At 41.4% G+C, this 13,289-nt stretch overlaps 1 protein-coding gene across 3 annotated transcripts in view; it reads left to right on the forward strand.

Moving 5' to 3' along the window:
• The window catches only part of GALNT17 (polypeptide N-acetylgalactosaminyltransferase 17), a 581,456-nt gene that overhangs the window by 446,282 nt on the left and 121,885 nt on the right, over window positions 1–13,289 (forward strand). The window contains exon 7 of one of the 3 annotated variants that reach the window (XM_017012521.3): window positions 101–4,154. The exons of the other annotated variants lie outside the window; for them this stretch is intronic. Coding sequence (XP_016868010.1) covers window positions 101–247 — 147 coding nt within the window. The 3' untranslated portion in view covers window positions 248–4,154. Of the gene's footprint in view, window positions 1–100; window positions 4,155–13,289 lie in introns of those variants that run through there. 3 annotated transcript variants of the gene reach the window in all.

Here is a 13,289-nt window from a genome sequence, read left to right on the forward strand (position 1 = left end):
TAGAATCAGGTGATCCTCCTGTCTCAGCCTCCCAAGTAGGTGGGACTGCAGGTGCACACCACTACAACCAGCTAATTGTTGTTTTTTGGTTCTTTTGTAGAGATGGGGGTCTCACTATGTTGCCCAGGCTGATGTCAAACTCCTGACCTCAAGGGACTGTTCCATCTCAGCCTCTCAACATGCTGGGACCACAGCCGTGAGCCACTGTGCCTGGCCTTATATAGAAATTATGAGCCATCTGGAATAGCCAAAGCCCCAGGAACCTGAATGAAAACAGCATTTCCCACTCCCACAGGTCTCTTTGCCCTGTCTCTTGTTCTTAGTTTTGCTTCCCTCTTGTCTACAGCTAGCTCTTGCAAGGCCTTCTGCCTGCCCTCCTGATCCCCGCCCTAGCCACTTCTCTATGGTTTTAGGGACCCATCCATCCATGTTAACCAAGAGAGATTTCCCCCTGCCTTCTCTGAGACCTCTGGCATCAGGAACCCTGATGTCCCAAAGCCTTCTGTGGCCTGTGTTGTCCATTTGGAACTCTCGAGCTCAAATTTGCTACATCCATTGAATAATGTAATTTGCATCATGGTCCATCCCAGAGAGGACCAGATGATCAGTCCGTTTTCATTTTCATACTTTTTAGATTGCATGAGTCTTTGTTCTCTCACCTATTGGCACTGGTCAAGGTTGGATCCAAGGCCTGGTGTGAAGGAAGTCATCCTTGGCTATGTGAATACCTTTGTAGGGCAGAGCCCAAGTTTATCTGTGATACAGATCAAAGCAAAGTTCCTGGTCTTGTCCCAGTATAGAGTGAGCCTTGAGATTTCACAAACTGGTCTTTCATGGAGGGGAATGTATGACTGGTGGCCAACAGTTCAACTGAATACTTCTGATTAAATGGAAACTTGGTGAGTGCCTTCTGTAGCCCAGCAGGCATTTCCACTGGAGCTACCACAGTCAATACATGGGGTCTCTATCTCCATGAAATTTATAGTCAGACAGAAATACTGTTCATGAAATAAATAATTAGCACTGTGATGAGTGTGAAAAAACAAGATAGAGCAATGCTGTGGGAAAATATAGTAAGGAAATATAGCCTAGTCTAGGGAGTTGGGAGGAACCTTCTTACGGAAATGCTGTTTAAGAATTCTAAAGTGAGTTTAATATAGATAAGCAAAGAAGGAGGTGTGCAAGGAAGAATATTCTAGACAGAAAAACATCTGCAAAGATTTGGAATTCTGAGAGATAAATGTGTCCTGAGGACCTTGGGAGTTCAGGATGGTTAGAGCAGAGAAAGGGGGAAGAAAACCTCTTAGATGCAGCGACAACCATCAAGGTGGGGCCCAGATTATGAGGATTGATAAGCAGAAAGTTGGCTTTTTCTTAAGGATCACTGTAGACATTTTAGATAGGTAGGTTAGGTAGACAAATAGATAGGTAGGTAGGAAGAAAGAGAGAGAGAGGGAGAGACAGAGACATGATAGATACATAGATTAGAGAGAGAAAGATGCATGGATGATGGATGGATGGATGGATAGATAGAGGGATGATAGAGATAGATGATAGATTAATGATAGAGATAGTAGGTAATAGAGATATAGACGATAGAGATGATGGATGGATAGATAGAGATGATGGATAGAATGATAGATTAGATAGATGAAATATATAGGTATGGATAGATTGATAGATTATAGATTAGATTGATAATAGAGATAACAGATAGATGGATAGATGATATAGATAGATGAGATATAGGTTAGATAGAGATGATGGATTCGATAGATGATTGATGGATAGATAGAGATGATAGACTGATTATATAGACAGATAAATAGATGATAGTTTGATAGATTAGATAGATGATAGATAAGATACATGGATGATAGATGTAGATGATAGATGGATACAAAGAAGATAGATATAGATGATAGATTAGACAGATGATATATAAATAGATGATAGATAAATTGATAGATGGATGATAGATAGATAGATAGATAGATAGATAGATAGATAGATAGATAGATGAGACATAGATAGTCTCAAGTACCCATTACTTACCACCCTTGAGGGGATTTAAAAGAAGTAAGAGGATTAGACTTTTCTTTTTACTAAAAAGATAATGATGACAGCCATGTGGAAAATAGATGATAAAGCTGCGTACACTCAGGAAAAGCTGGTGAGGAGGGGCTTGACCTATATGGTTGTGACAGTGGGAGAGGAATGGACAAATTCAGGAAGTGGAAGAGACAAGGCCTGGAGATTGAGTGTATGCAGGGGATGAAGAGAAGTGGGAGTCCAGGCTGAGCAGGTGGGAAATAGTGTTGCTGTTCTCTAAGGAGCACTGTTGGAGGAGGTTTGGGAGAAGGTGGAAAGATTATATGATAAATCTCATGTTTCTGAGACACCCCAGGCCAGCCCAGAGGCATTTGCATGTGTGGGGATTAAGCCAAGGAGGGAGCACTAAGCCTGAGATAGACTTGGATGTACCGGTGCCCTTTAGGAGGTGTGATAGACAGAGAGTGGTTGTATTAATCTGTTCTTACACTGCTATAAAGACATACCTGAGACTGGGTAATTTATAAACAAAAGACAGTTAATTGATTCACAGTTGTGCATGGCTGGGGAGGCCTCAGGAAACGTACAATCATGGTGGAAGGGGAAGGAGAATCAAGGCATGTTTTAGCTGGTGGCAGGAGAGAGACCAAGCAAGGGAGGAAGGGCTAAACACTTTTATGTTTTGTTTTGTTTTGATTGAGACATAGTCTCTCGCCCTGTCACCCAGGCTGGAGTACAGTGGCTCAATCTCAGCTCACTATAACCTCCATCTCCTGGGCTCAAGTGATTCTCATGCCTCAGCCTCCCAAGTAGCTGGGATTACAGATGTGCACTACCATGCTCGGCTAATTTTTGTATTTTTAGTAGAGATGAGGTTTCACCATGATGGCCAGGCTGGTCTTGAACTCCTGGCCTCATGTGATCCACCCGCCTTGGCCTCCCAAAGTGCTAGGATTACAGCTGTGAGCCACTGCGCCCGGCCACGTTTAAAGCATCAGATCTCGTGAGAACTCACTCACTATCATAAGAACAGCATGGGGGAAACCAACCCCCATGATCCAATCACCTCTTACCAGGTCCCTCCTTCAACGCGTGGGGATTACAATTTGGATTACAATTCACGATGGGATTTGGGTGGGGAGACAGAGGCAAATTATATCAGTGGTGGTCCACTGAATGAGAGGAGTGAATGAGAAGGGATTATTAAGGGTATCTCCCAGGCTTCCCAGCAACTGACTGCAATCCCCTAAATAGAGGACTCTGGTAGGGTAGGTTTGTCAGTGGGGACATGAGTAGTTCCATTTTAGAAATGCTGAGTTTGAGGAGTAGCAGTTCTCTCTAACCTGACAGTGAGATGTCAAGGGAACACAAGGCTGGGAAGGGACTCTGGCCAAGAGTGGGATTTGGCAGAGGGGTGCCAGGACAAGAGTTGGCTATTCTCCATTCCACCCTGGAGTCTGCAAGGCCACAGTGCTTAGGGTGTGGGCTGACTTAGAGGAGCGAGGACATAGGGATTCCTGCTATGGTTTGAGCGTGTGAGTTACAGCAGGTAGTGGCCATATGTGTTATACCTGGTGGGAATGTAAACTAGAACAATCACTATGAAAAACAGTATGGAGATTCCTTAAATAACTAAAAGTAGAACTACGATTTGATCCAGCAGTCCCACTACTGTTATCTACCCAGAGGAAAAGAAGTCATTTTACAAAAAAGATACTTGCACACACATGTTTGTAGCAGCACAATTCGTAATTGCAAAAATGTGGAACCAACCCAAATGCCCATCAATCAAAGAGTGGATGGAGAATCTGTGGTGGCCGGGTGCAGTGCCTCACACCTGTAATCGCAGCACTTTGGGAGGTCAAGACGGGCAGATCACGAGATCAGGAGATGGAGATCATCCTGGCCAACATGGTGAAACACTGTCTCTATTAAAAATACAAAAAAAAAAAAAAATAGCTGGGCATGGTGACATGCGCCTTAGACCCAGCTACTCGGGAGGCTGAGGAAGGGGAATCTCTTGAACCTGGGAGGCGGAGGTTGCAGTGAGCTGAGATCGTGCCACTGCACTCCAGCCTGGTGACAGAGCAAGACTCCGTCTCAAAAAAAGAAAAAAAAGAATCTGTGGTATATATATACAATGGAATACTACTCGGCCATAAAAAGGAATGAATTAATGGCATTTGCAGCAACATGAATGAGATTGGAGACTATTATTCTAAGTGAAGTAACTCAGGAATGGAAAACCAAAGATCGTGTGTTCTTGCTCATAAGTGGGAGCTAAGCTATGAGGATGCAAAGGAATAAGAGTAACACAATGGACTTCGGTGACTCAGGGGAAAGGGTGGGAAGGGGGTGAGGGAAAAAAGACTACAAATAGGGTGCAGGGTATAGTGCTTGGGTGATGGGTGCATCAAAATCTCACAAATCGCCACTAAAGAACTTACTCAGGTAACCAAACACCCCCGTTCCCCAATAACCTATGGAAATAAAAAATAAAACAAATTGGGAAAGTAGGATTTTAAAAAATTGAAGCCTATCATCTTTTTTTCCCCTCCCGAAATAATTTTGGGGAAAATTAGTTTTTCAAAATGTTTACAACTTTCACATCTCTGCTCCATACTCCAATTTCAGGCCAGTATGTGGGTTTCTGAATTTCTCAACTGGAGTGCAGTAGCAGGATCGCGACTCACTGCAACCTCCGCCTCCCAGGTTCAAGCGATTCTCCTGCCTCAGCCTCCTGAGTAGCTGGGACCACAGGGGCACACCACCACGCCCGGCTAATTTTTTGTATTTTTAGTAGAGATGGGATTTCACCGTGTTAGCCAGGATGGTCTCGATCTCCTGACCTCATGATCCGCCCACCTCGGCCTCCCGAAGTGCTAGGATTACAGGCCTGAGCCACCACATCTGGCCACCTGTTTGCCTCTATGTCACCTGCCAGGAAGAGATAGTCAGGCCCCCGTAGCCCCTCCCTAGAGCTGCAGATGATGAGCTGCTCACCTGTAAGTTTGTCTCTGCAGTGGCACCTTTTTCTTCCAGCTTTCACTGTTACACAACGTACTCAGCCTCAGTGCAGAACGAAGTTTTATTGGACATGGAAAAAGGGGAAAAATTAAACAGATTCCCTGGCATTAGATAGCAGGGCCATTTTGCTATCTTTATTAAAATGTATTGCCATCCTCTTAAAGAAGAGTAACAGGCTGATCTATGTAGAAAGCTATAACATGCACATGCATGAACACACATGCACACACACACACACACACACACACACACACACCACACACCAAACAGCCCTTCCTCAAGAGACCTTCCAAACGATGTCCAGGACCGTGAAGTCAGTTGTAGACTAAGGTCCTCCTGGCTGGGCGCGGTGGCTCACGCCTGTAATCCCAGCACTTTGGGAGGCTGAGGCAGGTGGATCACGAGGTCAGGAGATGGAGACTATCCTGGCTAACATGGTGAAACCCCGTCTCTACTGAAAAAAAAAAAATACAAAAAATTAGCCGGGCGTGGTGGCACGCGCCTATAATCCCAGCTGCTCGGGAGGCTGAGGCAGGAGAATCACTTGAACCTGGGAGGCAGAAGTTGCAGTGAGCCAAGGTTGCGCCACTGCACTCCAGCCTGGGAGACAGAGCCAGACTGGGTCTCAAAACAAACAAACAAAAAAGGGCCTCCTTCTTAGAGTTTCTTAAATTCTGTAATGCTAAATTTTATACAGTCTGGAAATTTTCCCCCGAGTGGATGAGAGGTTTAGATTATTTTGTCTCACTGTTTTTTTCCCTTCAAAACAAACTGGAAAATGAAGAATTCAGTCATTACATTTTATGCTAATTTCTTTTATTTTAATTCAACATTTTTGATGGAAAACTTGAAACATACACGAAGATAGCACAGCATAATGAATCCAAATGTACTGATCATTCAGCTTTAACAAATATTAACATTTTGCTGTTTTTTTCAGTTACTGCTCATTGACTTTTTAAAAACAAATCCCCAGACATCGTCTCATTCCATCTATAAATACTTTACAGTGCATTGCCAACATATAAAGACTCTTTAAAAACATAGTCTCGACATAAAATTACACTTAGGAAAATCCATTACCCAGTCCATGTTTTCTCAAAAATATTTCTCAAAACTCAGTTATATTTTCTCAAAAAAATTTGTTTGATAGTCAGCTTACTCAAATAAGAATCCCAGCAAGGTCTACACACTGCATTTGGCTGATGTGTCTCTAAAGTATCTTTCAATCTGCAACATTTCTTCTCACCTTTATTTATTTATTTATTTAATTTATTTATTTTGAGACAGAGTCTCGCGAAGTGCAGTGGCGCGATCTCCACTCACTGCAAGCTCTGCCTCTCGAGTTCACGCCATTCTCCTGCCTCAGCCTCCGGAGTAGCTGGGACTATAGGCGTCCGCCACCACGCCAAGCTAATTTTTTGTATTTTTAGTAGAGACGGGGTCTTCTCACCTTTATTAATTTCATGTCATTCATTTGTCAAAGAAACCAAGTCATTTGTCCTATACAATTTCACACAATCTGGATTTAGCAGATTGATGTTTCTTGATGTCTTTAACTTGTTCCTTTAATCTTCTTTTTATTTTTCTAAGCTGTAATTAGATCTACAAGGTTGATTACTTCTTCCTTTATTTTTTCCTTTCTTTCTTTTTGGCAAGAACACTTTAAGCTCTGCTATGAACTTCCTAGTGCTGACATTGGGAGATACATAATGTCTGGTTATCTCACTGTTTCTGATGTTAGGATTCAACAGCAGGTTCAGGTGTTGTCAGCCTGATTGATTCATTATAAAGCTCCCCATCAATCTTTCACTTAATTAATGGTTTTAGCAGCTACCAATGATCACTGCCTACACCCATTAATTCATTAGGGCCTACGGAATGGTGATTTTTAGACTCTACACTCATTCTGCATTTATAAGCTGTAATTCTTCCATTAAAAGTAACTTTTCCTACTCAACTATTTGTGTATTCTGAAATACAATTCAAACCAGGAAAGCAGGATAAATGCTTGATTTCTTCTTTTTATTTAAACATCTTCAGAATAATGAGTTGGTGTCATAGCACCCTCTTAAGATGACCAATGAGGTTTTCTTTTTTTTCCTCAATAATATGGACTCAAGGGTTTTTTTTTAAATAAATATTTTATATGTCTAAATCCATTGTCATTATTCATTTTTTGCCCACTGTATATTTACTTTTATTAAAGCATAATTTAATACAGTCCAATGTACAGATTGCCAGTCTTCAGTCTGATGAATTTCACAGTCTGATTAATATATACCCCTATAATCACCTCTGAAAACCTGACATTGGACATTTCTGTTGCCTGAGAAAGTCCCTTTTTCCTATCAGTTCTTTCCTCCTCCCCACCCCACACTTCCCGCCCCAGCAAGCATTTCCTGATTTCTTTTTTTTTTTTTTGAGAAGGAGTCTTGCTCTGTCACCCAGGCTGGAGTGCAGTGGCACGATCTTGGCTCATTGCAACCTCTGCCTCCCAGGTTCAAGCAATTCTGCTTCAGCCTACCAAGTAGCTGGGACTACAGGCGCCTGCCACCACACCTGGCTAATTTTTGTATTTTAGTGTAGACGAGGTGTCACCACGTTGGCCAGGCTAGTCGCGAACTCCTGACCTCAACTGATCCACCCTCCTCAGCCTCCCAAAGTGCTGGGATTACAGGCATGAGCCACCGCACCCAGCCCTGATTTTTATCACCATAGATTAGTTGTGTCTGTTCCAGAATATCACATAAATGGAATCACATCTTATAGTCTCTATTGTATCTGACTTCTTTCAACTAAAGGAATGTTTGTGAGATTCTCCATGTTGCAGTTGTGTGTATCTATCAGCAACACAGTCTTTGTCGTTTACTGAGAAGTATTCCTCTGTGTCAATATATGACAATTTGTTTATTCATTGTCCTACTGAGGAATAATTGGGTTGTTTCCAATTTGGGACTGGTATGAGCATTCATATAAAAGTCTTTTATGAACATTTGTTTAGATTTCGCTTGGGTAGATACCTAGGATTTGAATAGTTGGAATATCTAGAAGATGTGTGTTCAACTTTTAAAGAAACTGTCAATCAGGTATCCAAAATGTGCCATTTTCCACTGTTCCACCTCTTTTGCAGTATTTGGTATTGTCAGAATCTATTTTACCAAACCTAGTAGGGTTTTTTTTTTTTAATTGCATGGCACACTGAAAGGATTCTTTTATTTATTTATTTTTATTGACACATAATAGATGTACATATTTTGGGGGTACATGTGATAATTTAATATGTTCATATAATTTGTAAAGATCAAGTCAGTGTAATTGAGATATTTATAGTCATAAATATTTGACTTTTTTCTAAAAACATTCATTCTCTTCTAGCTGTTTTGAAATATATAAAAGGTAATGGTATACAATATTCACCCTACTGACCTATCAAACACTAGGTCTTATTTCTTCTATCCAACTGTATGTTTGTATCCATTAATCAAGCTCTCTTCCTCCTTTCTCCTCTCTACCTTTTTTGTTTTTTGTTTTTTCTTTTTTGAAACAAAGTCAATCTGTCACCCAGGCTGGAGTGCCATGGTGTGATCTCAGCTCACTGCAACCTCTGCCTCCTGGGTTCAAGCGATTCTCCTGCCTCAGCCTTCTGAGTAGCTGAGACTATAGGCGCACACCACCACACCAGGCTAATTTTTCTATTTTTAGTAGACATGGGGTTTCACCATGTTGGCCAGGCTGGTCTCGAACTTTTGGCCTCAAGTGATCCGCCTGCCTCAGCCTCCAAAAGTGCTGAAATAACAGGTGTGAGCCACCGCACCCAGCCACCTCTTTACCCTTTGAAGGGGGGTACTTCAGTATGGTTTTAATTTACTCTTCCTTGAAGGAGGATGAGCACCTTTTTTTGAGCTTATAGTTAATTTGTGTATCTCCTTTTGCCCATTTTTAAACATCATGTTTTTTCATTTTGTTGTTGATTTCCAGGGGTCTGTGGTATGTATTCTGGGTACTATTACTTTTTCAGTGATATGTACTATGTGAATATTTTTCTACTGTCTGTGGCTTGTCTGTTCATTTTCTTATGTATTTTCTTCTAGAAAGTTTATATGGTTCTATCTTTCACACTTAGGTCTATGATCATAAAGGCCCTGCTGAAAACATAAGAGAGTATCTTGCTGTGGGTAATACTTTTTTGTACTGAAAACATTAAAAAAACACTAATAAAGAAAAAATGATAAATTTGACTTAAAATGTAAATTTCAGCTCATCTAAACAAAGTATTAAAAAATGAATAGCCAAGCCACATGCCGGGAAAAATACTCATAATGCCTGTAACTGATGAAGGAATCTTATGCAGATTATGTGTAATAAATCCTAAAAGTCAAAATTAAAATATTGCAAAAAGGCTTAAGCAGCCACTTTGCAGAACATCCTTGCTTTCTGGCACAAGAAGAAGTTCCTGTCCTGTCTTGTTATTTACTGTCCTAGACCTGGAATTGGCCATTTCTCTAAGGAATCCCAATCCCTTCCAATGGGAAATGGTATTTAGAGACCGAAGTCTTGTCAGTGAGGGTGCTCATTGCCACTAGGTTGCCATTGTTTCTAAGCCTTTTCCATGAACAAAGCTAGACAACACTGATTTTTGTTTTTTTAGAAAGAGTAAGGTAAATCATTATTTCATACTAATGTCTTCTGTTCAAATTTGTAATTACCAGGTATTTACTTCTTATATTTTATATTTACTTTTCACTGAAAGTCTTGGTTCTTATTGACATCATTTCTTATTTGACTTATCCTACAATATATAAATAATAGTTTCAAAATAAGAATACTAACAAGTTGATTGGATGAGGTTTAATATTTCTTTATGGTTTGTTTTGTCCCTAGGATATATTCCATTATAGATGTACAACCAATGTCTTTAAAATTATTTGACATAATTTTCTCTGTGTGATTATACCACCTCCTTGATATAGACTATTAGAGCTATATGGCATTGAACAATTAAGTTCACTTTTGTTTTTTCTTTTCTACCGAGGCTACAAGTCAGTTAACTAAACTCAGTTGACCTAAAATTTTAGCATTCTTTAGGTATTGCTGTGTAGTCACAGCCACATGCACCAAACACTCTGCTTTTAGGTTGATTCTACCCAGCACTCTCTTGGGCCTTCAGTTCTACAATGTCGGACAACCCATACTCCCAGAGAAGCTGCCAATCTGGACTTCTGCTTAACATGGATTTGTTTTGTGTGGTAATTTGTGCCAGTCCACCATCACTGTGGCTGGTCTCATGAATCCAGCTGGAAGCTCGGTGATTACTATTATTGCTACAGCACTGGGGAAAAATCCAAGAACTTCCAGACATAAGAAAAAAAAAAATCCTCCACCCTCCCTCCCCCAAATTACCCTATTGATTGTCAAAGCTAAACTATATCTTTGCATACCAAAACTGAGCCAGAGAGGACACATAGCCCACATAAGGGTCAATACGGGGCCCTTAAAAAGCTAAACGTGGGAAGTGAGTGTCAAGAAACACCAGCACTGTTATTAGTGTGTGGAGGTAGCAGAGAACAGAATGGACTGCTCGGAGAAGGAAAGAGAAGCCACAATGAGGGGAAACCATAGACTGGTCTTCTTTGTAATTTTCATTGAGAAGCACTTTTTGCACCACAGTTAGTCTGTATTCAGAGTACTTAGCTTACTAAGGCAAGCTGGCAGGTACCAGTTTTGAGAATGAGTTCACACAAATGTTATTACGTTAAATGGGACAAAGGAGAACTTAAAAGTAATACCTAGCCAGGCACAGTGGCTCACACCTGTAATCTCAGTGCTTTGAGAGGCTAAGACAGGAGAATCACTTGAGCCCAGGAGTTCAAGACCAGCCTGGGCAAAATAGGGAGACCCGTCTCTACAAAAAATAATTACCCAGGCATGGTGGTGTGCCCTTGTAGTCACAGCTACTCATGAGGCTGAGGCAGGAGGATGGCCTGAGCCCATGAGTTTGAAGCTGCAGTGAGCTATAATCATAACACTACACTCCAGCTTGGGTGACAAACTGACACCTTGTCTCTGAAAAAAAAAAAAGAAAAAAGTAATACCTACTGTGGATTGCCACTAACAGTACTCCAGACACTGTAGTAAACGCTTTATAAACATTACATTATTCAGTGCTCGTGAGATTTCTGTGCGTTTTTCATTATTGAACCTATTTTACAGATGATAATACTGGGATTGACACAAGTCAACTTGTCCAAGGTCTTACAGCTAATAAATAGAACAGCCGGAACTCAACCCAAATCTACATAATTTGAGTTCTATGAGGCTTGCGACCTCTTGCTTGGAATTTATTCATCCATATAACTTTATTCTTCCACCATCTGGATAACTGTGACAATATTGCAGATACACGGTGACGCAGTCATATGGTAGGTGCTATGGATGATGCTTGTATATAATGCATATCATAAAACAATTCCATCTGCAATAGATTATGTTCATAATCTTTATGTAGACACACAGATAGGAACCATGCCCGTACATGTATTTCATGTACTACACTATCTCATATATAGAGAACTGTAGTTATGTAATAAACAAAAATGTGTTTGAAACAGCATGAAATTGGATTTCCTCATCCATAAATTGTATTATATTTATGTCGAAGTTATAGTTCAAGAAATAGAACTGCAATGTTGATATTTTTATAAATGATGTCTAATGTATTTCTATTAAGGGGAGATAGATTTGCTCTGCTGAAATGTATTATCATAATAGCCAAACCATTTACTCTACCACTGGAAAATAGTGTGGTATTCTGTTTGGAATTTCACTTGCCTGCTCCCAGCCTGCCAGATCTATTGTAAATTATTGTAGGCATCTGTGAGTTATTTTATAGGAAGCATCCATCTATTTTTATAACTCCAAAAAGCCTGTCACTCTCATTCATCTCCTTGGGAATAAAGCAATAATTTGATTCTCTATAAATGTGAACCTGAATTTACACCATCCTCTCCAGTTGGGACTTTAGTGATGTGGGTGATTTATGGCTCTGGGTTTCTGGGGCAAGGCCCTAGGAGATGACATCCTGATGTGCTTGTTGTCATTTTCTACTATTTCCACAGAAAAAGGGAGGGGACTCAACCTGCCCCTATTCTATTTAGGGCACAACTATTTGTTCCCTGTCCATGTAGCCATGTTGAATAGCACTTTCTTTTTGTTGTTGTTGTTTGTTTGTTTGTTTTTTGAGATGGAGTTTCACTCTTGTTGCCCAGGCTGGAGTGTAGTGGCTCGATCTCGGCTCACTGGAACCTCCGCCTCCTGAGTTCAAGCGATTCTCCAGCCTCAGCCTCCCAAGTAGCTGGAATTACAGGTGCCTGCCACCAAGCACAAGTGGGATTACAGGTGCCCGCCACCAAGCACAGCTAATTTTTTGTATTTTTAGTACAGACAGGGTTTCGCCATATTGGCCAGGCTGGTCTCGAACTCTTGACCTCAGGTGATCCACCCACCTAGGCCTCCCAAAGTACTGGGATTACAGGCATGAGCCACCGCGCCTGGCCATTTGTTTGGTTTTGAGACGGAGTCTCGCTCTGTCTCCCATGCTGGAATGCAGCGGCTTCATCTCGGCTCACTGCAACCTCCACCTCATGGGTTCAAGCGATTCTCCTGCCTCAGGCTTCTGAGTAGCTGGGATTACAGGCATGTGCTATCATGCCGACTAATTTTTGTATTTTGAGTAGAGACAGGGTTTCACCATGTTGGCCAGGCTGGTCTTGAACTCTTGACCTCAGGTGATCTGCCCACCTCAGCCTCCCAGAGTGCTGGGATTACAGGCGTGAGCCACCACCACGCCTGGCTCTAGGCCTGTTGAATATCAAATCACAAGGAACAGCTGTAAGGGTCCCGAATTGCTCCCTGCAGCCCTGGATCCAGCAGTTGGGTAGATGTCTGTGAAAGAGCCATAGGGACTGTGATGTGCTCAGCCTTCCAGGACCTCCACTGCAATTTCTTACATTTTCAGAGCTTCCACAGGAAATTAGTCGCATGTCTGGGAAACTCCTCAGGTATTTGCAACCAAGTTATCTATCTATGGTTTCCCATCTTTTGGCTCATTGGAAATGGGCTCATCTGAGAAATGTCACTGTTGATTGTTTGTTTGTTTGTTCGTTTGTTTGTTTTTGAGACAGAGTCTTGCTCTGTTACCCAGGCTGGAG

This window comes from Homo sapiens, chromosome 7 (genome assembly GCF_000001405.40).
Source record: "Homo sapiens chromosome 7, GRCh38.p14 Primary Assembly".
Taxonomy (NCBI): Eukaryota; Metazoa; Chordata; class Mammalia; order Primates; family Hominidae; genus Homo; species Homo sapiens.